The sequence below is a fragment of the Homo sapiens genome, chromosome 22, assembly GCF_000001405.40.
Source record: "Homo sapiens chromosome 22, GRCh38.p14 Primary Assembly".
NCBI lineage: Eukaryota > Metazoa > Chordata > Mammalia > Primates > Hominidae > Homo > Homo sapiens.
This window is the reverse complement of record NC_000022.11, coordinates 43,187,427-43,213,753: the sequence shown is the minus strand read 5'-3', so window position 1 is coordinate 43,213,753 and position 26,327 is coordinate 43,187,427. Positions and strand designations below refer to the sequence as shown.

Genomic DNA, 26,327 nt, shown 5'->3' with positions numbered 1-26,327 from the left:
TTATGGTGGACTAGACAGCTTACATTTTACGGAACATTCCATTACAACTGGAACACTTTGCAGAGAGTATCTTATACTTGAGCAAGAACTTTGCTCCACACAAAGAACTTTATTATGTGCCCCACAGACGGTTTAGAAAGCCCTTTTTCAATTTACCAAATGCAGTTAGGTTTGCAAAGAGCTTTTGCATTTACCTCCCTCTCCCCACTTAACTCCATCTGTGAAGCTAGCTCAGTCTCCCCATGAGCCTTTCTTCCCAGGCCACTGTGAGTTTCACCCAAGAGAATCCGCGGGGAAGGTTCTCAGCACCCTGAGAAGCACAGTGCCTGTGAGGGTGGGGGAGTGGGGTCCCAGGATACTGGAGACCTCCAGCTTTCTCCCGGTGATGGAAGGGCTCAGAGCCCAGCCCTGAGTCCGTCCAGGCTGCCGGCTGCTCTCTGGCCCACGCCCACTCCAGGAGTGTGGTCTCCACCCCTGGGGGAGTGGCCACTGGTAGGAGATTCCGTGTTTGGGTAGAAGCTGAGAATCCCAGGGTCTGGGCTGAGAGGGTGCTAAACCCGCCTCTCACTCAATGCCAGAATACTCTCTGCATCCTGAGTCTGCTGGAACGCAAGAACATTCTTTACTCGGAGCTGAAATTGGCTTTCCTGTGGTCCCCTCCCTTTGTCCCAGGGGTGCCCTTGAGTACCTCAGAAACCCTCCCCAGACCCGCCTCCCTCTGCTCTGGCCTGGCCCTGCTGGTAGACCAGGCAGCGTCACCCTGAAGCTGAGCAGGTGCTCCTTCTGCGGAGACCCCGGTGCAGCCTACCCCCCGGGGACAGCCCCTCTGAGACACGTGACCTGCCCCTCCACCTGTGGGTCCCCTTCCCAGCTCAGCAGCAAGGCCTCTTGCTCTTCAACCCCCAGGCCTTCTTGCTGGTGGGAGAAGGAGAGCCAGGCTTGACCAAGGCCGCACATGAACCGCTGGCATCATCCGGACCAGGGCCCAGCTTCCTGCACCCCGGCTGCTGCGTTTTCCCCACCCCGTCCCCACCCCAGGCCTCGGGTGCCCAGTACCTTTTCCAGGGCCGGGCAAGGGCCAAGAGCGGGGCCTGAGACCACCCACAGCCTCGGCCCTGCGGTGCCCTCCTGCCCGCCTGAGCCATGACCTCTGACTTTCAGGCCAGTGTTCTCCAGGCTTCTTCTCGGCCGATGGCTTCAAGCCCTGCCAGGCCTGCCCCGTGGGCACGTACCAGCCTGAGCCCGGGCGCACCGGCTGCTTCCCCTGTGGAGGGGGTTTGCTCACCAAACACGAAGGCACCACCTCCTTCCAGGACTGCGAGGCTAAAGGTGAGCATGCCCTCCCCACCACGCCCGCCCACCCCGAGAGGCAGGGCTGCACTGCTCCGAGAGGCTTCCCCGAACCCCTCTCATCTCCTCCATGTGGCGAACCTCCCAGCTCAGAGGAGGAGCCTGGAGCTGTCAGGCGTGGGCGTGGGTGACCCACTGTGCCCCGCATTAGGACAGGGACACCTTATAGCTGAGAGCTTTCTGAGCTCCAGGGGGAACAGCAGCTCCTCGGAGCACTGGGGAGGGCTCTGGGGACAGGAGGCCTTGAGCAGCATCTAGAAGGGAGGTTGGGAGGGTGAGGAGGGGGCAGGAGTGTGGGGGCAGGAGTGTGGGGGCAGGAGCGGGATCAGGGCATCACCTCAACTGCTGTCTGTTCAGGGCATCTGGTCCCACCCAGGTCTACATCCCGTCTTCCCTCACTCACCAACTCCCCCAAATCCTCCCCATTCTCAGCTGCTGACCCTGCTTCCCCACCGTGCTCCCTCTCAGTGTCTGTCTGTCTGTCCAGGTGGCCTGGCTCTCAGCCCCCTGGAGCCAGCCACATCACCAGATACTCCCCTGCACATACAAACTGTTCTGAATTTGCCCATTTAAAAAAAGAAGCCAGGTGCGGTGGCACACACCTATAATCCCAGCACTTTGGGAGGCCAAAGGGGGTGGATCACCTGAGGTCAGAAGTTTGAGGCCAGCCCGGCTAGCATGGCAAAACCCTGTCTCTACTTAAAAAAAATACAAAAATAATTAGCCGGGTGTGGTGATGTGCACCTGTAATCCCAGCTACTCGGGAGACTGGGAGGGGAGGATCGCTTGAACCCAGGAGGTGGAGGTTGCAGTGAGCCGAGATGGCACCATTGCACTCCAGCCTGGGTGACGGAGCGAGCTCCATCTCAAAAAAAAAAAAAAAGAATTGCCCATCTCTAGCCCCCCGCCCCGGCACCCCTCAGACTCCGGCCGCCTGTCTCTCCTGCCCCAGCAACCTTGTAGAAAGAGGGTTTGGCCTAGCTGGCTCCACTTCCCCTCCTCCCTGTCTCCCCCGCACGCCTCCGGCCACATCATCGCCCCCGCTCTCCCTGAAAATGGCTCCCATCAAGGTGGCCTGTGTGGTCCCTGTTTTGCTGGAGCCAACATCACATCAATCTGCCATGTGACCCCCACGCCAAGGGCTCTTCCTGGCCATGGCGGAGTGAGGGTGGTGGGAGGTCATGGGGCGGTGGGGAGGAGCCTTGAACTCTGTGCCAAAACAGACCTCGAGGGCATGAGAGGTCCTGGGGACAGCACCCCAGTGCTGCCCTTTCCCTGCACCCCTCCACACCCACCACACTGCCTTGTGTCCCCCGGCAGTGCACTGCTCCCCCGGCCACCACTACAACACCACCACCCACCGCTGCATCCGCTGCCCCGTCGGCACCTACCAGCCCGAGTTTGGCCAGAACCACTGCATCACCTGTCCGGGCAACACCAGCACAGACTTCGATGGCTCCACCAACGTCACACACTGCAAAAGTGGGTGCTGCTGCTCTGCCGTGGGAAGCTGGGAACACGGGAGGGGCTGGGCAGGTTGTGGGGGCGGGAGGAGACCTGATCTCACACGAGCTCCACGAGGACACTGGACTCCTCCCGCTCCGTCCCGTCTGCTCTCGGGTGCATTGCATCCATCTGGAGGCCTGTGGCACCAAAGGGGCAGCCCTGGCTTGGCCCACTCTACGGAGCCCACAGTGGTGGCCATCGTTCATCAGTTCCCACTGCTCACCCAACACAGCCCAAGCCTCTGCCCTGGGCCAGGCCCTGCTCTAGTTTCTGGGTCTGCTGGGGGGGCTGACAGCCTACAGGGGCACTGACAGGGCCTCTAGAGAGAGCAGGGCTCCAGGCCCTCTCAGTGCCCCTGACAAGGCCCAGCCACAGAGAAATAGGGTGGGCCTGCAGGCATGGCAGCCCAGTAAGAAGAAGCCCCCAGGCTGGGCCTCAGGGAACCACAGGCCTGAACAGGGGACCTGCCCTCCTGCTCTGGGGGCAGCCCAGGCAGGGTCCCCAAGGAGGATGGGCTCAGGGTCCGAGGGCTAGTGTGGGGGGGGACAAGAGCACCTTCCAGCCCTGCCCTAGGCCTCCCAGGTGGTTAGAGGCCTGGCCGGCCAGGGCCCCTGCCCAGCAGAGCCTGATGAGGCCCTCGGGCCACTGTGCCCACAGACCAGCACTGCGGCGGCGAGCTTGGTGACTACACCGGCTACATCGAGTCCCCCAACTACCCTGGCGACTACCCAGCCAACGCTGAATGCGTCTGGCACATCGCGCCTCCCCCAAAGCGCAGGATCCTCATCGTGGTCCCTGAGATCTTCCTGCCCATCGAGGATGAGTGCGGCGATGTTCTGGTCATGAGGAAGAGTGGTATGTTGGGGGCCGAGGGGACCAGAGGCAGCCTCAGCTGCGTGTGCACCCCCGTCTCGCTGCGGTTCTGCCAGGCGGGATCGCTGCCTTCACAGGGCAGAGAGGAGGGCCCTGGGGCTCAGAGGACCAGCCCCTCAGAGTCCACCTGGGAGGCAGGGTTGAAACCCACTTGGGTCTAAGAGCTGGCTTTACAGAGTTCTGTGGAAAGATCTGGAGAGCTTAGGGTATTCCGAGAGTGGATGCTGGGACATGGTCAGGCCTGGTCTCAACTCCGGCCACGAGCCGGGCCCTCATCCCAGTGGCGGGACCAGCCGCAGGGCCCCTTGCCACCACTTTCTGCCGCACCGCTCAGGGCGAGACCTCAGGCTCCAGCTCCATGGGTCTCCTCCCGCCCGCTGAGGTTTGGGGGACCACACGGCCGTCCCATGCACCACACAAGATAACAGCTCAGAGAGCCCTCCCCACCCCTCTGTGAGCCCTGGACTCCTGGCTCATCCGCCCCCGTCAGGGCTCCTCTTGAGACTTTAGGGAGTGAAGGATGGAATGGCATGAGAGAGGACTGGACTCAGCAGTGGGTGTGACCGCTGTGTGCCCAGCTGGCCACAGCAGCAGGAATGCCTGGGAGGCCCCTGAGCCACCCGAGCACCAGCCAAATACCTGCAGCGCACCTGTCCAGGGCACCTCGCTGCTGTCGGGCTGTGGGTGCCCATGTGAGCGAGCTCCATGTCTGAGTGTTAGGGAAGGAAGAGCAGGAACCCAGACACCCACAGACGCTGGCCAGAGAACATCTCTGGGTACCCAGTGACCACAGAGACCGGCCAGATGAGGGGGTGGGGAGGGGCCTGAGGTCTGCGCCAGGGCTGCTCCTCCAGAGTTGCGTTATCCTGGGCAGGAGTTGCTCAGCATAGCTAATGAGTAGACGGATGTCAGCAAGGCTGACGCAGCTGAGCAGCCAAAAGCCGCAGTGTGCGGATGGGCAAGGGACCGGCCTGGGACCACATTCCCCACCCGTTCCCCTCACCCGTTCCCCTGCCCCCAGCATCCCCTCCTTCTGTCCCCCACCACAAGCCTGAGCTGAAGTGAAGCCCAGCCTGTCCCCCATGAAGGGCTCCTCGGGAAGGCCCCCAGGGAGCCGTGAGGCCTTGCCAAGGAGCCCTTAAGCGGGGAGAGGCTGGGCAGGGCTGGGGTGCTCCCACTGTCACCGTGTCTGAGAAAAGGATGGTTTGCAGAGTTTGGGAAGATTCACCTGCCGGTCACATGCTGTACCCACGCTGCCGCACTCGGCTCCTGATTTCCTCCTCGGGAGATCAGGGCTCAGTGGGCCTTGCTGGTGTATTTGCTCTCGGGGAGAAGGGACTTCCCAAGTCTGTGCCTCTGGTCCCAGCAGTCAGTGCCAGTTCATCTCCCACGTCCTCCCCCAGCTTCCACTCCCACCCTGGCCTTGCACCAAGTGCAGGCCTGAGCCCTGTCACCGAGGAGCAGTTAGCTGGAGGGAGATGGAGACCCACTGACAGAGGGGCCTGTGATAAGGGGTTCACCAGAGCAGAGCAAGATCTTGGGAGGGGATGGGGGGAGAGTCAGGGAGGCTTCCTGGAAGAGGGGACAGAGATGGGTCTCAGAAGGACAAGTAAGAACCCGGGTTGAGGGTAGGGAAGGGCCTCAGAGGCAGAGGGAGCAAGCACAAAGACTAAGCCGTTGTGTTTGGGGGACCAGGCGTTCGGTGCAGGTGCTGGGTGGTGGACTGGATGGGAGGCGAGTGGCCTAGGGCAGGAGGAGCTGCCTACCTGTGGCAGCTCAGCAATGATGCTTCACCCGCAGCCTCTCCCACGTCCATCACCACCTATGAGACCTGCCAGACCTACGAGAGGCCCATCGCCTTCACCTCCCGCTCCCGCAAGCTCTGGATCCAGTTCAAATCCAATGAAGGCAACAGCGGCAAAGGCTTCCAAGTGCCCTATGTCACCTACGATGGTAAGATCCACTGTCTTCACGGCCCACTGTGCACGGCTCAGGCGGGGCCCTGGAGACACAGAGATGAGTCGCACGTCCCCGCCCTCAGGGAGCTGCGACCTGGCAGGTACAGACCTGGAAGCAGAACGAACACTGTCAGGGGCCAGAGCCAGACAGGCTGAGGGTGGTACCGGGTGGTACAGGCAAGACAGCGGTTAGTGGCCTCTGCAGGCTTCAGCTGAGGTGCTGCCCAAGCAGGGTTTTGAGGGCTAAATAGGGGGTTCTTAGTGAAACCCCGAGGAGGACAATACAGGTGCAGGGAGCCCCAGGTTCAAAGGCACAGAGGCAGAGCTGCGGCCAGCCATAGCCCAGAGCCCGTGGCTGGAGCACAGGAGGGAGGGCAGAGGCTGGAGGTGAAAGGGGAGCACGTGGGCCTCAAGCCCCTCGCCTTCCTCTCCCCCTGCTGACCCGCTGCCCAGAGGACTACCAGCAACTCATAGAGGACATCGTGCGCGATGGGCGCCTGTACGCCTCGGAGAACCACCAGGAAATTTTGAAAGTGAGTGAGTTTATTGGAAGGGAATCCACGTAACCCTGGGATGGGGCCTGTGATGAGCCAGGACCGCCCCTGCCCCAGCCCTGGCCCCTGGAGGAGCAAGGGAGGGTGGGTGGTGATGGGAGAGGAGCAGGAGGCTTGGGGGTCCCAGAGCCCTAATGGTGGGGACTGGGTCCTGCACATCTGTTCCTCCAGACCAGGAGGCCTGAGGGAAGCTGTTTGGTGAGGACTTGGGGACCAGGACCTGGTGATGTGGCCTCAGGCACATTCCTCACCAGCTCACAGCCTCACTCTCCTCATCTGTAGAATGAGGGTATTCTGGGGGATGTCTCAGAATCAGTGGGATCTACCCAGTGCCATTGTCACTTGGAGCCCCCCTGCCGCTGGGACTAGGCTCCCTCCTCTTCCTGCTTCCAGCCTGGAGAGGCAGGGCCGCCTGGTGTGTCACATGGTGGGTACTGGCCAGAGGCCTGGGGACCCAGGACTCACCCAGCTCAGCCCTGGGCAGCAGCACTGTCAGCCCAGGAGCCCCGGGGTGTGGAGGACAAGGGCAGGGCTGGAACGCTCCCGCTGTCACTTCTTCTGAGAAAAGGATGGTTTGCAGAGTTCGGGAAGATTCACTTGAGTCTCCCCATAGTCTGCCAGTCACGTGCTGCCGCCCTCGGCTCCTGATTTCCTCCTCAAGCTGCTTAGGCAGAAACCAGGGATGCGTCCTGGGCTCTCTCCCCGCAATCTCTGTCCCCCCAGCTCCGCCCTGGGAGCATCGCTCCCAAACTGGAAGCATCCTGACACTGCTCTGGGGACACAAACCTCAGCCGGAGGGCCATCCTCCTCCACAGCAGCTCCCAGCTCCTCACACGCACCAGAGCCTCTCGGCCCCTTCTTTCCCCCACCTCTTTCCCCCCATCCTTCCGCCCTCAGCTGGGACATCCTGTCGTACTCTGGGCGGCCTGCCCGGACCCCCTGACCTGGGCACACCCTTTGCAGCCCCTTAGGTCCCGCGTGCCCCTCCTTCCTGGCGCCCACCAGCACTCACTTTAGGTTTGTTCTGTGAATATTTAGTCCCTGCCCCCACAGCACAGAGGAGGGCAGGAGCATCTGTCTCCAGGGTGTGGGTTCAGGGCACGCGTGTGTGTGTGCGGGGGGTGGGGGAGTGTGCTGTGTGGTGTGTTTGTGGAGGCATGTGTGGTGAGTTTGGAGGTGTTCAGTGTGTGTGGTGACTGTGGTGTGTGTGTAGGGGTGTGTGTTGAGTGGGTGTGTATAGTGTGTATGTAGGGGTATGTAGGGGTGTGTGTGCTGGGTGTGTAGGGGTGTGTGTTGAGTGGGTGTGTGTGGGGTGTAGTGAGTGGGGGTGTGGTGGGTGTGTGGTGTGTTTGGGGGGGTGTGTGGTGAATGGAGGCGGTGTGTGTAGTGGGTGGGGGTGTGGTGGATGTGTGGTGTGTATGGGGGTGTGTATGGTCGATGGAGGTGAGGGTGTGTGGTGTGTGTGGGGGTGAGTGTGTGGTGAGTGGGTGTGTGGTATGTATATAGGGTGTGTGATGAGTGGGGGTGGAGGTGTGAATAGAGGTGGGGTGAGTGTGGTGAGTGGGTGTGTGGTGTGTATATAGGGGTGTGTGTGGTGAGTGGGGGTGGGGGTGTTTGTGGTGAGGGGTGTGTGGTGGGTGTGGTGTGTGTGGGGGTGAGTGGTGAGTGGGTGTGTGGTGTGTGTGGGGGTGAGTGGTGAGTGGGTGTGTGGTGTGTGTGGGGGTGAGTGTGTGGTGAGTGGGTGGTGTGTGTGTGGGTGAGTGGTGAGTGGGCGTGTGGTGTGTGTGGGGGTGAGTGTGTGGTGAGTGGGTGGTGTGTGTGGGGGTGAGTGAGTGGTGAGTGGGTGTGTGGTGTGTGTGGGGGTGAGTGTGTGGTGAGTGGGTGTATGGTATGGGGTGTGGTGGGTGTGTGGTGAGTGGGTGTGTGGTGTGGGGTGTGGTGGGTGTGTACACAGAGATGAGTGTGTGCCAGGACAGGTCCACCCCAGACACAGCAGATGCAGTCACAGTCAACAGGGCGAGGAGCTCTCACGCGCCAGCAGGTGGTGGTCGCCATTTGCTGAACACCTTCCCTGGGCCAGGCTCTGGGGACTCTGTCAGGAACCAGACCTCCGCCAGGCCTCACCTCTGCTCCATAGTTTCTGCCCAGGGTGGCAGCCAGTGCCCCACTAGAGAGACGAGACACTGGGGCTCAGAGAGGGCGGGGACTGCATCTGCCCTCCAGAGACTGCTCCGGAGGACAGCCCCGTTTGCTGCCTAGATCCCTGCAGCAAACCTGTACTGAGCACCGCTGAGGAGAGGTTCTCTGCTCACGCCAGTGCAGATCATTTTCCTCGCAGCCCCGGGAAGAGGCATCGTGACCTCTCTGTGCAGGGAAGAATGAAAGTCAGAGCAGCAAAGCGATGTTCCCGAGGTCCAGGGACCAGCGAGCAGGCCTGAAGTGATGATTTGGGATCTGCCAGCTGCAAAGCCTGTGCTCTTGGCTGGGTGTTCTCTGTTTGCAGATGTTGGTTGTGTTGTGTCATTTTGCAGCGGGACCCTTTGTTAATAAAATCTTTTTTTTTTTTTTTTTGAGACAGTCTCGCTCTGTCATCCAGCATGGAGTGCAGTGGCACACTCTCGGCTCACTGCAACCTCCGCCTCCCGGTTTCAAGCAGTTCTCATGCCTCAGCCTCCCGAGTTGCTGGGATTACAGGCATGCGCCACCACGCCCAGCTAATTTTGTATTTTTAGTAGAGATGGGGTTTCCCCATGTTGATCAGCCTGGTCTCAAACTCTTGACCTCAGGTGATCTGCCCGCCTCAGCCTCCCAAAGTGCTGGGATTACAGGTGTGAGCCACCACACTTGGCCTTTAATAAAATCTTATTGGAATCCCAAGAGTTAATGCCAATGATCTATTTAAAAACCAGTTACGGGCCAGGCGCCGTGGCTCACGCCTGTAATCCCAGCACTTTGGGAGGCCGAGGTGGGTGGATCACCTGAGGTCAGGAGCCTGAGACCAAGCTGGCCAACATGGTGAAAATGCGTCTCTACTGAAAAGACAAAACTTAGCCAGGTGTGGTGGTGCATGCCTATAATCCCAGCTACTCGAGAGGCTGAGGCAGCAGAATCACCTGAACTCAGGAGGCGAGGTGCAGTGACCCAAGATCCCGCCACTGCACTCCAGCCTGGGTGACAGGGCAAGACTGTCTCAAAAAAAATAAACAAATAAAAACCAGTTATACTATTAAAACCAAAAGAAGGTCTGTGGGGTCCTGAAACCCACCAGCCAGCGCATCTCTCTCCCCTCCCCCAGCCTGGCAACACCCCACAGACCCTACAGGCCCCAAGCCTCCCCTGCCTCCCACCCACTCTATCTTACAGGACAAGAAGCTGATCAAGGCCCTCTTCGACGTGCTGGCGCATCCCCAGAACTACTTCAAGTACACAGCCCAGGAATCCAAGGAGATGTTCCCACGGTCCTTCATCAAACTGCTGCGCTCCAAAGTGTCTCGGTTCCTGCGGCCCTACAAATAACCGGGGGGAGCGGCCCTGCCTGGGGGTGGCCTGGTCCGCGGAGGGTGCACCTGCCCTCCACAGTGGGAGCTGCATGGGCCTCCACACCACCTTGGGAACCCCATGGCACTGCCCTTCAGGGAAGCCGACCAGCCCATGGAGACCGAGCCCAGGCACCCTTCGGACCCGCTGCCCCTGTGGGAGCACCCTGCTTCAGGAAGCCTCCCTCCCTCCCTCTGCCTCCCTTCCCCAGGACACCAAGAGCGCCCTCTCCTGAGCCCTGGCAGACCGACTGCAGGTAGCAGGATTGCAGGACCCTCTGCCTGGCCTGGCGTTTCAGGAGAGAGGGGAAGTGGGGCCTGTGCTCTGGGAGGCGTGGTCATCCGAGACAGGAGTCCAGGGGAGAGAGGAGGGGACAAAGGCGCCGTCTGGGGGAGGTCGATGAGCCTGTGCTGGCATCCGCGGGCCCCACGCTTTGCCAACTCCTCCAGCCACAGGCAAGGCCACGGCTCCGGGCTGTTGCGCTCTAAGGGTTCTGTGATTGGATGGAACAGAGCTGCTGGGGAGGAGACTGGAAGTTTCTGCATTCCTTCAACAGAACATTTAATGAAGTACTCTATATATATATATAAATATATATATAAATATATATATATACTTCTATTTGTGGGTACTTTAGGAAAATGCCCTTTGGTCACTGTAAATATGAATTGTGACCCCATCCCTTCCCGCATGAGCCCAGTGAGTCCCAGCAGCTATCAGCCTCCCTGAACGATTAAACAGCTCCTCCCAGCATTTGCATTTGCCCTTCTGTTTCTGTGAGGCCGGCAGCCCTTGGGGCTGGGGAGAGCACAGCTTGCCTTGGACTTGCTTCTGAACACGAATTCTTCGAGAACTAGGCTCAGATGCTCTGCTGGAGTGTTGGCCTCACCCCAGTCCCCTTGCCAGCAACATCACTGCCCTTGGACGAGACTCAGTGGAAGACACTTCCCCTCGGACCCGTTCCCAGGAGGTGCAGGGGCCCAGCAATAAACGGCGAAAGGGGCCTTGGCTCTTGCCCTGTGGCAGTGACCTTGGGGTCCGTACTATGCCCAGGTGTCAGCAGGAAACAAGGCCTTGCTCACAGGAGCACAGGCTGTACCACCACAAGGAGCCTCAGAGCGGCCAGTGAGGAAAGGGGAGAGAGCAGAGCTTGCTGTCAGAGGCCAGGCTCCCAGTGCAGCCTCCTCTTGCTACGCCATGCCACCCCCATTCACAGGGAAACCTCTTTCCTTCCTATAAAGGAAAGAGGTTGAATTGACTCACATTTCCACATGGCTTGGGAGGCCTCAGGAAACTTACAATCATGGCGGAGGGTGAAGGGGAAGCAAGCGCCTTCTTCACAAGGCAGCAGGAGAGAGAAGCAAGCAGGGAAATGTCGGGAGAAAGAGAGTCTGGGCTGTGACCGAGTGCATGTGTCCCACCCAGCCGGAAGGCCAGCGCCTGGGATGGAGCCAGCAGAACCCCATGCCGAGGTCCAGGAGGCCTTGCCTGCTCTTCATCTGCCTGCGAGCTGTAGGACCTGCATGGGAAATGGTCTGTGTGTTTCAGGTTAACAAATACTGAAAATCCCAAGGAACCTGGGAGAATCTGAAAATGAACTCCAGTCTTCAGCTCGAAGTTGCCTCTAGGGTTCCTCCTGGTCACCCCCGGGCCCAGCCTGGCTGGCGAGAAACAAACACGGTTTGAGAGGCTGTGGCACACTGAGGACCACACAGATGGAGGCAGCCAAGTGAGGTCCCTGGAGGTTCAGGGCTTGGTGACGAGGTAGGCCGTGATCACATATTCTACAGTCCAAAAGAGGGCCCGGAGCTCAGCAATTACTCACGCCGTCACATGTGCCCACAGTAGCGGGCTCCGCGGCGTGGCTCCTGCTGCCATCAGCTGCCTTCTCTGCTGAAGTCCAACTCAAGTCGGAGAGAGAGTGGAGCCTCTGCACTTGGGGAGTAGGTCAGTGTCAACTAACAAGCCCTGCCAGGGGCCACTGCCGCTCCTCTGGTCACAGTCCACGCAGGCCAGCCCTGGTTTCTGGAAAGAGGCCTCCCTCCCTCCCTTTGTGGAGCCGTCAGTCATCCCCAAGATGAGAGGCGAGCATCCTGCCGAGTGAGCCTGCAGCAACAGCTCCTGAGGAAGGTGCCGGGAGGGGTGTCGCCTCTTCACGAGTGTTCTCCAGAGAATCAGAACCCAGAGGATACAGACGTAGATGTGTGAGGGGCTGCATTATGGGAACTGGCTCACAGATTCTGGAGGCCAACAAGTCCCACGATCGGCTGTCTGCGATTGGGAGACCAGGAGAAGCCACACCGTAACTCAGTCTGAGTCCAAAGCCCGAGAAGCCAGGGGCCACCCTGTGAGTCCCAGCATCCAAAGCCCCGAGAACGAGGAAGATGGATGTCCCAGCTCCCAAAGGGAGGATTCTCCCTTCCTCCTCCTTCTTTTCTATTGGGGCCCTCAACAGATTGGATGGAGTGGATGTCTTCACTCAGTCTGCCAATTCCCATCCTAACCTCTTCTGGAAACACCCTAGCATGTTTTCCCAGCTAGCTGGGTATCCGTTCACCCAACCAAGACGACCATGCAATCAACCATCACACTTAAATGTTTTTGTTTTGTTTTTTTTGTTTTGTTTTTTGTTTTCTTTTTTTGTTTTCTTTTTTTTTTTTTTTTTTTTTTTTGAGATGGAGTCTCGCTCTGTCACCCAGGCTGGAGTGCAGTGGCGCGATCTTGGTTCACTGCAAGCTCCGCCTCCCGGGTTCACGCCATTCTCCTGCCTCAGCCTCCCGAGTAGCTGGGACTACAGGCACCCACCACCTTGCCCGGCTAATTTTTTTGTATTTTTAGTAGAGACAGGGTTTCACCATATTAGCCAGGATGGTCTCGATCTCCTGACCTCGTGATCCGCCCACCTCGGCCTCCCAAAGTGCTGGGATTACAGGCGTGAGCCACCACGCCCAGCCAGGGTTTTCTTTTTTAATCCTTTCCAGAAACAGAAAGAGCTCTTAACCTCTCTGAGCTCTTTCTGCAATTCCTTTGGGCGATTTCTGAAAGTTGCCACCCACGTACTCACAGATCCACTGCCCGCCTCTCCTCCCCTCATGTTCCAGGACTCACCACCGTGGTCAGACCATGCCCAGTGTGCCCAGGGCAAAGTTGGATGGGCAGGTGCAGACGAGGCCCAGCCTTCATCCTGCTTTCCCTCGCAAGCCCTTCTATAGCTCCCAGCCCACGGGAGAGGCCATGAGGAGCGCGAGGTCGCCAGCAGCCCCACTGGGCCTCCCACACCATCTGAGTGACTTGAATTCCAGGGTTGGGCTCTGTCTTGAGTCTCCACATCAGTCTCACACCAGGGAACTTGGGGGTCCCCCGTTAAACTACAGCTGACCCTGGGCCTCAGGGCGGGATGGTCCCAAGGTGAGCTCCGTGGACAGCAAAGCGCATTTCTTCCAGTTGGCATGTTGTCGAAGCCAATGGCAGCTTGACTGATGTGAGGTGGCTATTCCACCTGGTTCAAGATGGAGGTGTAGAGAAAAGGGAAGTGGGGAACAAGGACTGGGCCAGGTAGGACGGATCCACGTAACGAGGCCCAAGAAAAAATGGAAGCTGGGGGCAGAGAGTCCAGGAGGCCCCCATGCTGTCTGAGGGGAGGCCGGCATAGCCCCTCCTCGACTGTCGCCTGAGCAGCTGATGAGGTCCCCAGCGCCGCACGCTGTGCTCCAGGGAGAGGAGCCAAGAAGCAAGCGGGCTGCTGGGAGTCCCTGCACTGCCATCTGGCCGGGACGGAGGCGCCTGCCCGGTCTCCAGGCTCCTCTGAGCTTGGGTCAGCTCCTAATGGAGCATGGCACCCCAGGGAACCAGAGGAACTCTGTGAAGAAAGGCATGGAAAACCGGGGTGTCTCCCGCACAGCTTCCCAGGAGTCAGGTGGGACCCAGGCGTGGGGGGACCTTTCTGCCCCACATTCCTGGCATTCCCCCCAAGTTTATTTCTACTTTCCAGAAACAAGCCACGGGAAGGGAAGGAACCTGCAGCAGGGTTTCGAAGACAGCCAGGCCCTCCGTGATTGAGGGCTCATATAGCCGCTGAGGGCAGCCTGCAGCCAGGTGGCCTCACCTGCTGCCCAGAATTAGGCTGTGCCTTTTCCCAGTCCTTCCCCATGCCAGAGCCTCTCCCCATCTTTCCCCGCGCCAGAGCCTCACAGCCACAGCCACACCAACCTCCCTCCTCTCAAGCAGCAGAATCAGCCTACGCTCCCCAGCCTCAGTGCCCCTGCCCCACACAGGTCACGCTGGCAAGGCGATGACCAGTTTCCGAAACGCTGGATCCCCAAGGGTACAGTGTGGCCCAGTCCTCCCCCACCTCCATGGTGGCCCAGGCTGCAGGGCTCACGGTGGGCCCACGGTGGAGGCCTCAGGCAGCTTTCTCTCCAGCTACCCATTGGCTTAGGACACACAGATAAAGTAGAGCTGAAACACGGGCCAAAACATCCCCAGACAAGGATGGCACAAGAGGCCAAATTTGAAGGCCTTGGGAGAGAAGCCATTTCCCCTACCTCTAACGAGCGTAGTTTTCTGTCTGAATGGCCCCCCTTTTCATGCACGCTCGTTCTTAAGAGACGCACCATCCGCAGGCAGCGTCTCAGTGAAGCCTGTCCCCTGGGCTTGTCCACGGCAGGAGGCCCCTGGCCTGTTTAAGCCATACCGATGCTTAATTTACATTTTTGGAGTTGAATATTATTCCGGTGCCTCCACCACCCCCAGCAGAAAAAATAAGATACTGAAATAAGTTGAGTCATTTCGCAAACATTTACTGAGCACCTCCTGTGTGCCAGGCTCCTAGAAAGACAGGGAGTTGGTGCCCTGCACAGATGACAAACTGCCCCAGACAGCAGACAGACAAACAAACTGCCCCGGACAGCAGACAGACAAACAGACACATTGCCCTGGACAGCAGAGAGACAAACAGACACACTGCCCCGGACAGCAGACAGACAGACACGTTGCCCCGGACAGCAGACAGAAAAACTGCCCCGGACAGCAGACAGACAGACAAACTGCCCCAGACAGCAGACAGACAAACTGCCCCGGAAAGCAGACAGCAAACTGCCCCAGACAGCAGACAGACAGACACACTTCCCCAGACAGCAGATAGACAGACACCCTGCCCCAGACAGCAGACAAGCTGCCCTGGACAGCCTGCTCACCTTGCCTGCCACAGTGCATGCCCCACAGGGAGAAGCCTTCCTTCTCACCCAGGGAGTCCAGCCATTTTCACCTCCCCTGGTCCATGCTCAGGAAGTCTGGTCACCCTGGCAAACTGCACCTGACATTGAGGTCCCTTTTCACCAAAGATGCACAAGGTGTCCATGCCGAGCCGACATCATTCAGGCCAAGGGCAGAGGATGTAATGAGGGGTGGAGTGAGGATGTGGAGAGAGAGCAGAGAGCGCCTCCTATTCTACCGCGGCTGCCTCTGCCCCCACAGCACCCACAGATCCCTGGCCCTTCCAGGAGTAAGTCCTGGGCAGGCAGAGCTGGGGTTGGCCTGATCCCACCTGCCTTGCTCTTGGAAAGGACATCAGGTGTGGGCAAAGCATCCTTGAAGCCCAGACAACACAGGCATGGCCTGCGTGCCCTCCCAGCATCTGCTGCGATGGCCTCAAGGCCTCTCCAGTCCCCTGCTGCACCATGCCACTCAGAGCCCCTGAGTGAGCCCCCTGGAATTGTCTGCACCCCCCAAGCCCCAACAGGAAGAAGGGAAAGGTGGGGAAGCTGACGCTCACTCAGTGCCCACTGGGTGCCAGGCTCTGGGCTCAACCCTCTAATATCCACACATTCCATCCCCCCAGCCCCATGTAGATGGTGGGGTTAAGACCATTCTTCAGATGTGGAAATGAAGGCTCTGGGAGACCACAGGACATGCCCAAGGCAAAGAGTTGGTAGTCCCTGGATTTGGGAATCAAACTCAAGCCCATCTAATCCAAGGGTAGGAAATGTCTCTAAAACGTTGATCAATCTGAAGCTTACAGATTGGAAACTGGGCCAGGTCAGCCCTGGCGGTGGAGTCCAGAGACAGAGAGAAGGCTGCAGGGAGGGGAGAGAACAGGAGGATCCCGGGCCAGGGTGACTTCAGTGACATTCCTTCCCTCCTTCACAAGCACGAAAAACTCGTTCGGAGAAAAGACAGCTTCTGCCTTCCCTACCAGGCGGACAGGGTACTCACTGTGCCGACGTGAGCAGACACAGCCAGAGGCTCAAGTGCCCTTGCCGAGTGTCCCCACTGCTCTTGGGGAGGCCCCGGCACAGCCCTGCAGAGATGCAAGTAAGAGAGTGCCCAGTGCCCTCGGCAGATGGGTGGCAGAAAGCAGGAGGAGGAAGAGGGAGCTGACCGATGCCGGGTGTCTTACTCCGCTGAGATCAGAACCTCCAACATGCCGAGCAGACGCAGGCCACATTGCTCGGGGAACAGGACACCAGGGCGCTGTGCTAGCGGCCCGCAGACTTCACTTCTGGCTCCTGTGAGGGCACTGTATTGTCCAGACGCTTGGCAACGACTCTGCCTGCAAGTGGCAAATACCAACATAACCACATCTTCCTTTTAGTTGCCACAAATATTCAGTTTTGTTTTATCCATCATGTCCCCCATATGCATGTAATGAAACATTTGTGAAAATCACTTTAATAATAAACAGGAAATGAACCTAAATATTGCTCTTTTCTCTTATTCAGCAGAAGTCATGAGTTGGGGGGAAATGCTAACTGGAATCCAGAAAAGAAAAAATAATGGAAGAAATTTCATGACGCTATTGAGGACTGAAAGTAAGGAGCTACAGTAACCTCTGGAAAATAAAGCAGCGAGGTGGAGATCTACGTACAGACGCAGGGGGCGCCCACATTTAGGGAACAGACATGCTTCTAACTGGCAGAAGGCAAAATGTCCATATTTCAAATCCCATTTCCCCGCATAACTCATGATGAAATGAGAGTTTTGTTTTTGTTTTTTTTTTTTTCAGACAAGAGTCTCACTGTTGCCCAGGCTAGAGTAGTGGCGTGATCTCGGCTCACTGCAAGCTCCGCCTCCTGAGCTCACGCCATTCTCCTTCCTCAGCCTCCCGGGTAGCTGGGACTACAGGCGCCCGCCACCACGCCTGGCTAATTTTTTGTATTTTTAGTAGAGACGGAGTTTCTCCGTGTTAGCCAGGATGGTCTCGATCTCTGACCTCGTGATCCGCCCGCCTCAGCCTCCCAAAGTTCTGGGATTACAGGCGTGAGCCACCGTGTCCGGCCAAGAGTTGTTCTTTGACACTGGGGCTTTAATCTGGAAGTCATGGTCACAGTGAGCCTCAGGGAATCTATGACTCATTGAAATTCGGCACGCAATGCTGTGTGTGTGTGTGTGTGTGTGTGTGTGTGTGTGTGTACACATGCATGTACAGATACACATTTCTATTTCTCTGGGAATATGGCCCACAGCTTTCCTCAGGTTCTAAAAGAAATCTAGGGTCAGGTGCAGTGGCTCACACCTATAATCCCAGCACTTTGGGAAGCCAAAGCAGGAGGATTGCATGTGTCCAGGAGTTCGAGACCAGCCTGGGCAACATGGCAAGACTCCCCCATCTCTACAAAAAATGAAAAATAAAAAATAAAAACTGACAAAAGATATATACATGCATTTCGCAGAAGAAGAAACAGGACAGCCAATTACCATTTGAAAAGGTGCTCAATCTCATTAATAATAATGGAAATACAGGCTGCTCTGCCTAGGAGTAGCCATGCTTTTGTTTCTTTACTTCTCTAATAAACTTGCTTTCACACACACACAAATGGAAATATAAATTGAGACAACAAAAATATGCCATGTTAGCACTAGGTTGGCAAAAAAACAATAATAAGTGTGATAAAATCAGAATCAGAGAGGATATGGATCAACTTACTGTATACAAATAGGGAATCTCTTTTTTACATATATGTTCCAGGAAATATACAAAACTATTCATAGCCTCATGTTTATTAGAGCAAAAAGCTTAAGATAACCTAAGTCTCTTCGTGGAAAACTGCATCATAGTCACGTAATTAAATATTATGTAGCTATGACAATTAATTAACATCCTGCAACAAAAGGGATATATCTTAAAAGCAACATGTGCAGGAACAAGACCAGGATGCGTGCCTGCACCGCTCTGCTGGAGGTCTAGCCAGGACAATTAGGCAGGAAAAAAATATAAACAGCATCCAGATTGGAACGGAAACAAAATTATCCATTTCACATGTCCTGATCTTCTATATGGAAGATACTTAAGGAATCCACAAATAATTACTAGAGCTGATGAAATTCACAAGGTTACAGAACATAAGATCAATATATAAAAATCAGTTGTACGGTGGGCACAGTGGCTCACCCCTGTAATCCCAGCACTTTGGGAGGCCAAGGTGGGTGGAGAGCCTGAGCTCAGGAGTTCAAGACCAACCAGTGCAACATGGAGAAGCCTTGTCTCTACCAAAAATACAAAAAATTAGCCAGGCATGGTGGCACGCACCTGTGGTCGTAGCTACTCGGTAGGCCGAGGTGAGAGGATCGCTTGAGCCTAGGAGGCAGAGGTTGCAGTGAGCCGAGATCCAGCCACTGCACTCCACCCTGGGTGACAAAGTAAGACCCCATCTCAAAAAAAGAGAAAAGAAATTAAAGAAGATCTGTACTCTTGGATTGGAAGACAGTATTGTCAAGATGACAGTACTCCCCAAATTGGTCTAGAGATTCAGTGCAATCCCCATCAACATCCAGGCTGGCTTCGTGCACAAACTGACATGCGAATCCTAAAATTCATATAGAAATGCAAGAGACCCATAGTAGCCAAACAGTCTTGAAAAAGAACAAAATTGGAGGATTCACGCTTCTCATTTTTAAAACTTACTACAAGCTTACATTAATCAAGATTTTGTGGTACTAGCAGAAGGACAGACCTACAGATCAATGGAATAGAATTCAGAGTCCAGAAATGAACCCTTAAATTTATCATCCATCAGTTGGTTTTCAACGAGAGTGCCAAAACCATTTAATGGGGAAAAAATAGTCTCTTCAACAAATGGTACTAGGACAACTGGATATCTACATGCAAAAGAAAGGAAGTTGGACCCCTACCTCCTATACAAAAAATCAACTCAAAGTGATCAACGACTGAAATGTAACAGCTAAAACTATAAAACTCTTAGAAACTAAGACAGATAAATAAGTCTTTGGAATCTTGAATTAGGCAATGGCTTCTTTTTTTTTTAACTTCAATTTTTGTATTTCCGTTAAGTTTTGGGGGAACAGGTGGTGTTTGGTTACATGAATAAGTTCTTTAGTGGTGATTTCTGAAACCTTGGTGCACCCATCACCTGAGCAGTACACCCTCTACCCAGGCAATGCCTTCTTAAATGTAACACACAAATAATAAGGCACCAAAGAAAAAATATATAAATTGGACTTCACCAAAATTGAAAACTTGTACTTCAAAGGGCTCTGTGAAGAAAGTGAAAAGATAACAGAATAGGAAAAAAACCTTTACAAATCACATATCTGATAAGACTCCAGTATCCAGGATATGTAAAGAACTCTTACAACTCAACAATAAGACAAATAACCTAATTTAAAAATGAACAGGCGGCCAGGCATGGTGGCTCACACCTGTAATCCCAGCACTTTGGGAGGCCGAGGCGGGCGGATCACGAGGTCAGGAGATCAAGACCATCTTGGCTAACACAGTGAAACCCTGTCTCTACTAAAAATACAAAAAACTAGCCGGGTGTGGAGGCAGGCGCCTGTAGTCCCAGCTACTCGGGAGGCTGAGGCAGGAGAATGGTGTGAATCCAGGAGGTGGAGGTTGCAGTGAGCCGAGATCGGGCCACTGCACTCCAGCCTGGGTAACAGAGCAAGACTCCGTCTCAAAAAAAAAAAAAAAGAAAAGAAAAAAAAAAAAGAACAGGCTGGGAGCAGTGGCTGTAATCCCAGCATTTTGGGAGGCCAAGGAAGGCGAATCACCTGAGGTCAGGAGTTTGAGACCAGCCTGACCAACATGATGAAACCGCATGTCTACTAAAAATACAAAAAATTAACCAGGCGTGGTGGCATGCACCTGTAATCCCAGCTACATAGGAAGCTGAGGCAGGAGAATCACTTGAACCCAGGAGGAGGAGGTTGCAGTGAGCCAATATCACACCATTGCACTCCAACCTGGGTGACAAGAGGGAAACTACGTCTCAAAAAAACAACAACAAAAAACAAAAGAACAAAGAAGGCCAGGCACAGAGGCTCATGCCTGTAATCCCAGCATTTTGGGAGGCCAAGATAAGAGGATCACTTGAGGCCAGGAGTTCAAGACCAGCCTGGGCAACAAAGCAAGACCCTGTCTCTATATCAACAACAAAAAAATGGACAAAGAGGCTGGGCACAGTGGCTCACACCTGTAATCCAGCACTCTGGCAAGCCAAGGCCAGCATATCGCTTGAGGTCAGGAATTCAAGACCGGCCTGGCCAAAATGGTGAAACCCCATCTCTACTAAAAATACAAAATTTAGCCGTGGGCACCTGTAATCCCAGCTACTAGGGAGGCTGAGGCAAGAGAATCACTTGAACTCAGGAGGCAGAGTTTGCAGTGAGCCGAGATCACGCCACTGCACTCCAGCCTGGGCGACAGAGAAAGACTCTGTCTCAAAAAAAAAAGGACAAAGAATGTGAATAAACATTTCTCCTAAAAAGATATGCAATTGGCCAATAAGCACATGAAAAGATGATTGACATCATTAGTCATTAGGGAAAATACAAATGAAAACTGTAAGATACCACTTCACAACCACTAGAACTATAATCAAGAGTCAGGGAATAACAAGTGCTGGCAGGAAAACTAGAACCCTCGGCCAGGCACAACGGCTCATGCTTATCCTAATATTTTGGGAGGCGAAGGCAGGAGGATCAGGTGAGGTCAATAATTTGAGACCAGCCTGGGCAACTAGCGAAACCTCATCTCTATTAAAAATAAAACTTAAAAAATTAGCCATGGCCCAGGCACAGTGGCTCACACCTGTAATCCCAGCACTTTGGGAGGTCGACACCTGTGGATCACTTGAGGCCAGGAGTTCAAGACCAGCCTTCACAACATGACGAAACCCAGTCTCTACAAAAAATACAAAAATTAGCCAGACGTGGTGGCATATGCCTGTAATCCCAGATACTTGGGAGGCTGAGGCAGGAGAATTGCTTGAATCCAGGTGGCAGAGGTTGCAGTGAACCAAGATCGCACCACTGCACTCCAGCCTGGGCAACAGAGCGAGACACCATCTCAAAAAAAAAAAAAAAAAAAAAAAAAAAAAAAAATATATATATATATATATATACACGTATATATATATATATACGTATATATATATACACATATATATACACGTATATATATATACTCATATATATATATACTTACCAGTTTATAAAAAACAGTTGAATCCAAATTATTTTTCTGACAAAATGGGGTAAGATTAAACTTTAAGAATTTTTAAAATACGCCACCTTATAAAGGTTGTGAGCCAAATTTTGGGTAACACAGCCTAAGTCAGTTACCAATATACTGTGTTGGACAAAGAATAGTTAACTGTGAAAACATGACTGCATTATGTGATGAGGCCCAAAAGATAGGAGTGACTCTAACCAGTCTTTACAGTATTCGTTTGGACTCTATTTTTTGTCCTTGAAGAAAAGAGTGTTGCCCTTTCTTTTAGTATAAGGAGGAAGTCTTTCCATGAGAATTTCATCTTTTGCTTTTAAGAAACAGCATGAAGTTCATAATGATTTTCTTTTTGTATCTCCTGGTTGTCAAGTGTTTTTACTTAAATAGTCAGTATTCCAGAATAGCCATTTAGAGGATAAAAAGGAGGAATTGTAAGGATTGGGGAGGCTCCAGAAAGGAACAGTTTCAGCTAGCTTTGACTCAGTGTTTTGTAGGAAGGCAATCTTTGAGTCCTGAATGGACTTGTTTTTTAGCCTCAAGGTATCAATGAGAAATACATACTTAGAGTGTATGATTTTATAACCATGGTCTTTTAATTTAAAGAATAAACTGAATGATCCCTATAATGTTTGAATATATTACTAGCTGGAGTCCTAGAAAATTTGGCATGCCTTTGAACTTTGAGACCTCATTTTAACTAAATATATCTAGGTGACTGAGATTGGTTTTTTCCCTTTTTTTTTTTTTTTTAGTGGCTTATCCAGCAAGTAAGGTGATTTAGTTTAATGTTGAGTACACAAAGGCCAAAGAAACACAAACAGACAGAAAATATAAGTATGTACTCACCAGGAAGAATAATAGTCATCTTCAAATGAGGGGAAAAAAATCCCCTCATCCAAACCTCAAGATCCAGACCTCACAGCTGAGATCAACAGGAGGAAAATAACCCTCCCCAACAGCAGATATCCCACACAGGACAGGGAAAGTCACCTCCCCAGCCATTTCCCAAATAAGAGAGAACTCAAACCAAATTCAGGAGTTCTGTCCAAGAGAGACTTACCAGGTGGGAGAAGAGGTGACTCACAAAGGTAGAAGGGTGTCAGAGGGCCCCAGTGTGAGATTCTCCCCAAAGTGGTTCAGTGCTTGGTCCCACTGCTGACACCATGTATGTCAAAATCAAAAATGTAGAGACAGCTCTGTAAACTTAATGTGTGTAGTTTTTTGTTTTTTTGTTTGTTTTTTTGAGACAGGGCTTCACTGTGTTGCTCAGGCTGGAATGCAGTGACACAGTCATGGCTCACTGCAGCCTCAACCTCCAGGGCTCCAGCAATCCTCCCGCCTCAGCCTCCCGAATATCTGGGACTACAGGCACCCACGACCATACCTGGCTAATTTTTGTATTTTTTGTACAGATGGGGTTTCACTGTGTTGCTCAGGCTGATCTCAAACTCCTGGGCTCAACCAATCTGCCCACCTTGACCTCCCAAAGTGTTGGGATTACAGGCATGAACTACCATGCCTGGCCTAAATGTAATGTTTTATTTGTGAAGAAGGAACTGCCATTCAGGGTGCACCTACAGACCAGGTGGTCTTTGCTTTGTCCGAAGAACAAAGAGAAGGTTAGAAGTTTTATTTAAAACAGAGAAATGGGCCAGGCACAGTTGCTCATGCCTACAATCCCAGTGCTCTGGGCTAAGGCAGAAGGATCACTTGAGGCCAGGAGTTTGAGACCAGCCTAAGCAACACAATGAGACCCCTGTCTCCACAGAAAACTTAAAAATTAGCCAGGCATAGTGGCACATGCTTGTAGTCCTAGCTACTCAGGAGGCTGAGGTGGGAGGATTGCTTGAGCCCAGGAGTTCAAGGCTGCAGTGAGCTATGATTGCGTCACTGGCCACTGCACTCTAGCCTGGGCAACAAAGTGAGACCCTTCCTCAAAAAGAAAAAAAAGAAGAAGAAATGTTACATATTGCTCTTTGAGAAAGTTCACTGGTACTTGTAAGGGTTTGGGGAGTTAGTAAGCTCAGCTTGGTGAGCCTTATTAGTCCTAGAGTTGCAGTCAGTTATCTCAGAAGTTATCAATAAATGGTTTTAGGTTACCACAAGCAGTTTCAGCAGTCGGGCTTACAGAGAATTACATTTTGGGAACAATGCCTTGCACCCCAAATGCTTTTTCCCTCTTGGCTTCTCAACTCTGTTTTAATTATGACAAGAATGACCCAATTTTTTTTTTTTTTTTTTTTTTTTGTGAGTTGGAGTCTCACTCTGTGGCCCAGGCTGGAGTGCAGTGGTACGATCTCGGCTCACTGAAACCTCTGCCACCAGGGATCAAGCAATTCTCCTGCCTCAGCCTTCCAAGTAGCTGGGGTTACAGGCACCGCACCAAGGCTAATTTTTGTAGTTTTAGCAGAGACGGGGGTTTCACCATCTTGGCCAGGCTGGTCTTGAACTCCTGACCTAGTGATCTACCCACCTCGGCCTCCCAAAGTGCTGAGATTACAGGGGTGAGCAACCACGCCTGGTGACCCAATTCTTATGATCAACTTTCACAAAGTCATTGTATTGGGTTTAGGCTCCATGTTGTATGAAAAACCCATTTTGTATGAGTACCCTTGGCAAAGCTCTCAGAACAAAAAGCTATCAGGGACCAAAGGTCAACCTGGGCTTGGATTTTCAGGATGGAAGGGCCTTTTTTATTTTTAGACGGAGTTTCCCCCAGGCTGGAGTGAGTTGATGCGATCTTGGCTCACTGCAACCTCCATACCCCCACCCCTGGGTTCAAGCAATTCTCCTGCCTCAGCCTCCTGAGTAGCTGGGATTGTAGGTGCCCACCACCATGCTCGGCTAAATTTTGTATTTTTAGTAGAGATGGGGTTTCACCATGTTGGTCAACCTGGTTTCGAACTCCTGATCTCAGGTGATCCACCCGCCTTGGCCTCCCAAAGTGCTAGGATTACAGGCATGAGCCACTGTGCCCGGCTATGGAAGGGACTTTTAAACTCTTTTTTTTTTCCCTGTTTCTCTCTCTCCTTTTTTTCAATTGTCTGGAGGGGGAGGGGGTTGGTGGCAGTAATGGGAGCAGAGCAGTAATTTTATGTTGATTAAATACACATTCTTCAGTGCCTCTTTAGAAGACAACATTTCAGCTGAGAAGAATGAGTCAGGATTTACAAAGTGAGCATGGGGAGAAAGGCTTTCTGGCAGAAAACAGAGCACAATGCTTTCCAGGAGCTGAAGACAACCAGAGATACAGGGACTCACAGTGTGAGGGGAAGAGTGTAATGAAAAGAGGCTGGAAAAGTTGGCAGTGCCAGCTCACACAGAGCCTTGGAGCTCAGGTGAAGAGTTGAACCACAAAGGGTTCCAAGTAGGGATCTGATACAACTGGGTTTACATTTGGGGAGGAGCATGTGAAAGAGGACTGCCCTGTCAGAGCCTCACATTCTCCTGGTCAAAGGGGCTGGGTCAGGAATGTTCACATAATCTGACCAGTACCTGACACAACTGAGACTCAGTCTGTCTTCCCCAGCGGGACCGATGGAAGGGTTGTGGAAGCGGGAGGTGCACTAGGTGTGTACCACTATACCTGGCTAATTAAAAATTTCTTTTTGTAGGGTCGAGGTCTTGCTTTGTTGCCCAGCCTGGTCTCAAACTCCTTATTTCAAGTGATCCTCCTGTCTTGGCCTCCCAAAGTGCTGGAATTACAGGTGTGAGCCAGCATGCCCCATCCTAGCATTGTGATGCTGTTTTACTATATTATTTATTTTGAGATGGAGTCTCGCTATGTTGACCAGGTTGGAGTGCAATGGTACAATCTCAGCCTTGGCTTCCACAACAAAAACCGAGGAATCAGGGTTTTCCTCTGGCCATGGTGAAACCCTGTCTCTACTGAATACAAAAAATTAGCCAGGCGTGGTGGCACACACCTGTAGCCCCAGCTACTTGGGAGGCTGAGGCAGGAGAATCACTTGAACCCGGGAGGCAGAGGTTGCAGTGAACCGAGACTGCACCATTGCACTCCAGCCTGGGCAACAAGAGCAAAACTCCATCCCAAAATAAATAAATAAATAAAATGTTTTTCTCTGCAGCCCTCACCAACTTGAGTTTGGAAATTTTTGCCTTTGCAGACCCACCTGCTTCCTACAATGGAATTGAACAAGTCCGTGAATTGGTGCATTTTATTCAAACTCAGTTCAAAAATGTTATCAAAATAGCATCTGAAGCTCCAAAAAATTTTCAGCCTTTGTTTTTTAGCAAATTACAATTCTTACAAAATTGCAAAAAGGAAGACATTGAAATGTATCCCTATGGAGCAATAAAACTCAATGAGAGTTCAAAAGAGAATGTCTTTTGAAATTCTATAACTGAACTGTTTTCTTTTAAAGAGGGAGTCTGGCTATGTTGCCGAGGCTGGACTTGAATTCTTGGGCTCAAGCTATCCTCCCGCCTCAGCCTCCCGAGTAACTGGGACTACAGACGCGGCCACCACGCCCAGCTCAACTGCACTTCGAAACATCCCGACATGTAGGAGTAAATTCCTCTGACGGGTACACTTGGTCTTAATTGGATCAACTGACATTCCGAATCCAAATATAAGTAATTGAGAAGGGCCACGATTTTGCAGCATCCAAATCTGGTGAAACGCTCACAAGAATCGAGAGCTCCCAAGGCAGGGGGCCTGCGAGCTCTGTGTGCCCGGTGCAGGCACAGAAGCGCCGCCTCACCGGGTTCGGGCCCCAGGACACCTTCCGGGCCGTCGGTGGGGCCTTTTCCGGTCCTGACAGCGCCCTATACGTAGGCACCCCGCCCTCCCGGCATTCCCCGGGGTCGCCGCGCGCTGAGCGAGAAAAGCTCAGCCACCATCAGGTGCGCGTGCGCACACGGCGGCAGCCAAACCACAGGCGCGGTCGCAGACGCGCGCCCCCTCCTGGCAAGCTCGCGCGCTCTCGCACGCACCCCGCCGATGCGCAGGGCCTGCCCGGGGGCCGCGGCAAACCGGGCTGGAGGCGGACTGGGGGCGGGGCGGGACGGGGTGAGGGGGCGAGAAGAGGGCGGGGCAGGGGAGGGGTCGGGGGGGCC

At 53.6% G+C, this 26,327-nt stretch overlaps 1 protein-coding gene and 1 long non-coding RNA gene across 2 annotated transcripts in view, besides 3 other annotated features; one reads left to right on the top strand and one right to left on the bottom strand.

Moving 5' to 3' along the window:
* Positions 1–16,474, top strand: part of SCUBE1 (signal peptide, CUB domain and EGF like domain containing 1) — a 146,093-nt gene extending 129,619 nt beyond the window's left edge. The window contains exons 17-22 of the mRNA NM_173050.5: positions 1,162–1,329; positions 2,671–2,832; positions 3,514–3,711; positions 5,530–5,682; positions 6,141–6,220; positions 9,605–16,474. Of these exons, the coding sequence (NP_766638.2) occupies positions 1,162–1,329; positions 2,671–2,832; positions 3,514–3,711; positions 5,530–5,682; positions 6,141–6,220; positions 9,605–9,757 (914 nt within the window). The 3' untranslated portion in view covers positions 9,758–16,474. The remainder of the gene's footprint in view (positions 1–1,161; positions 1,330–2,670; positions 2,833–3,513; positions 3,712–5,529; positions 5,683–6,140; positions 6,221–9,604) is intronic.
* SCUBE1-AS2 (SCUBE1 antisense RNA 2) lies at positions 93–1,080 on the bottom strand. Its single transcript, NR_134632.1, has 2 exons — positions 1,057–1,080; positions 93–599 (listed from the first exon to the last, which is right to left on the bottom strand). It is a non-coding gene; the product is annotated as an SCUBE1 antisense RNA 2 (long non-coding RNA).
* Positions 14,751–15,682: an enhancer, noted in NCBI's record as "H3K27ac-H3K4me1 hESC enhancer chr22:43594078-43595009 (GRCh37/hg19 assembly coordinates)". NCBI's record gives its function as "activates a minimal SCP1, AML or CMV promoter by ChIP-STARR-seq in primed H9 embryonic stem cells {active_cell/tissue: H9 hESC(primed)}" and the evidence as "EXISTENCE:reporter gene assay evidence [ECO:0000049][PMID:30033119]".
* Positions 15,683–16,615: an enhancer, noted in NCBI's record as "H3K27ac-H3K4me1 hESC enhancer chr22:43593145-43594077 (GRCh37/hg19 assembly coordinates)". NCBI's record gives its function as "activates a minimal SCP1, AML or CMV promoter by ChIP-STARR-seq in primed H9 embryonic stem cells {active_cell/tissue: H9 hESC(primed)}" and the evidence as "EXISTENCE:reporter gene assay evidence [ECO:0000049][PMID:30033119]".
* Positions 26,207–26,326: a silencer, noted in NCBI's record as "silent region_13859". NCBI's record gives its function as "represses an Ori minimal core promoter by ATAC-STARR-seq in GM12878 lymphoblastoid cells {active_cell/tissue: GM12878}" and the evidence as "EXISTENCE:reporter gene assay evidence [ECO:0000049][PMID:35858748]".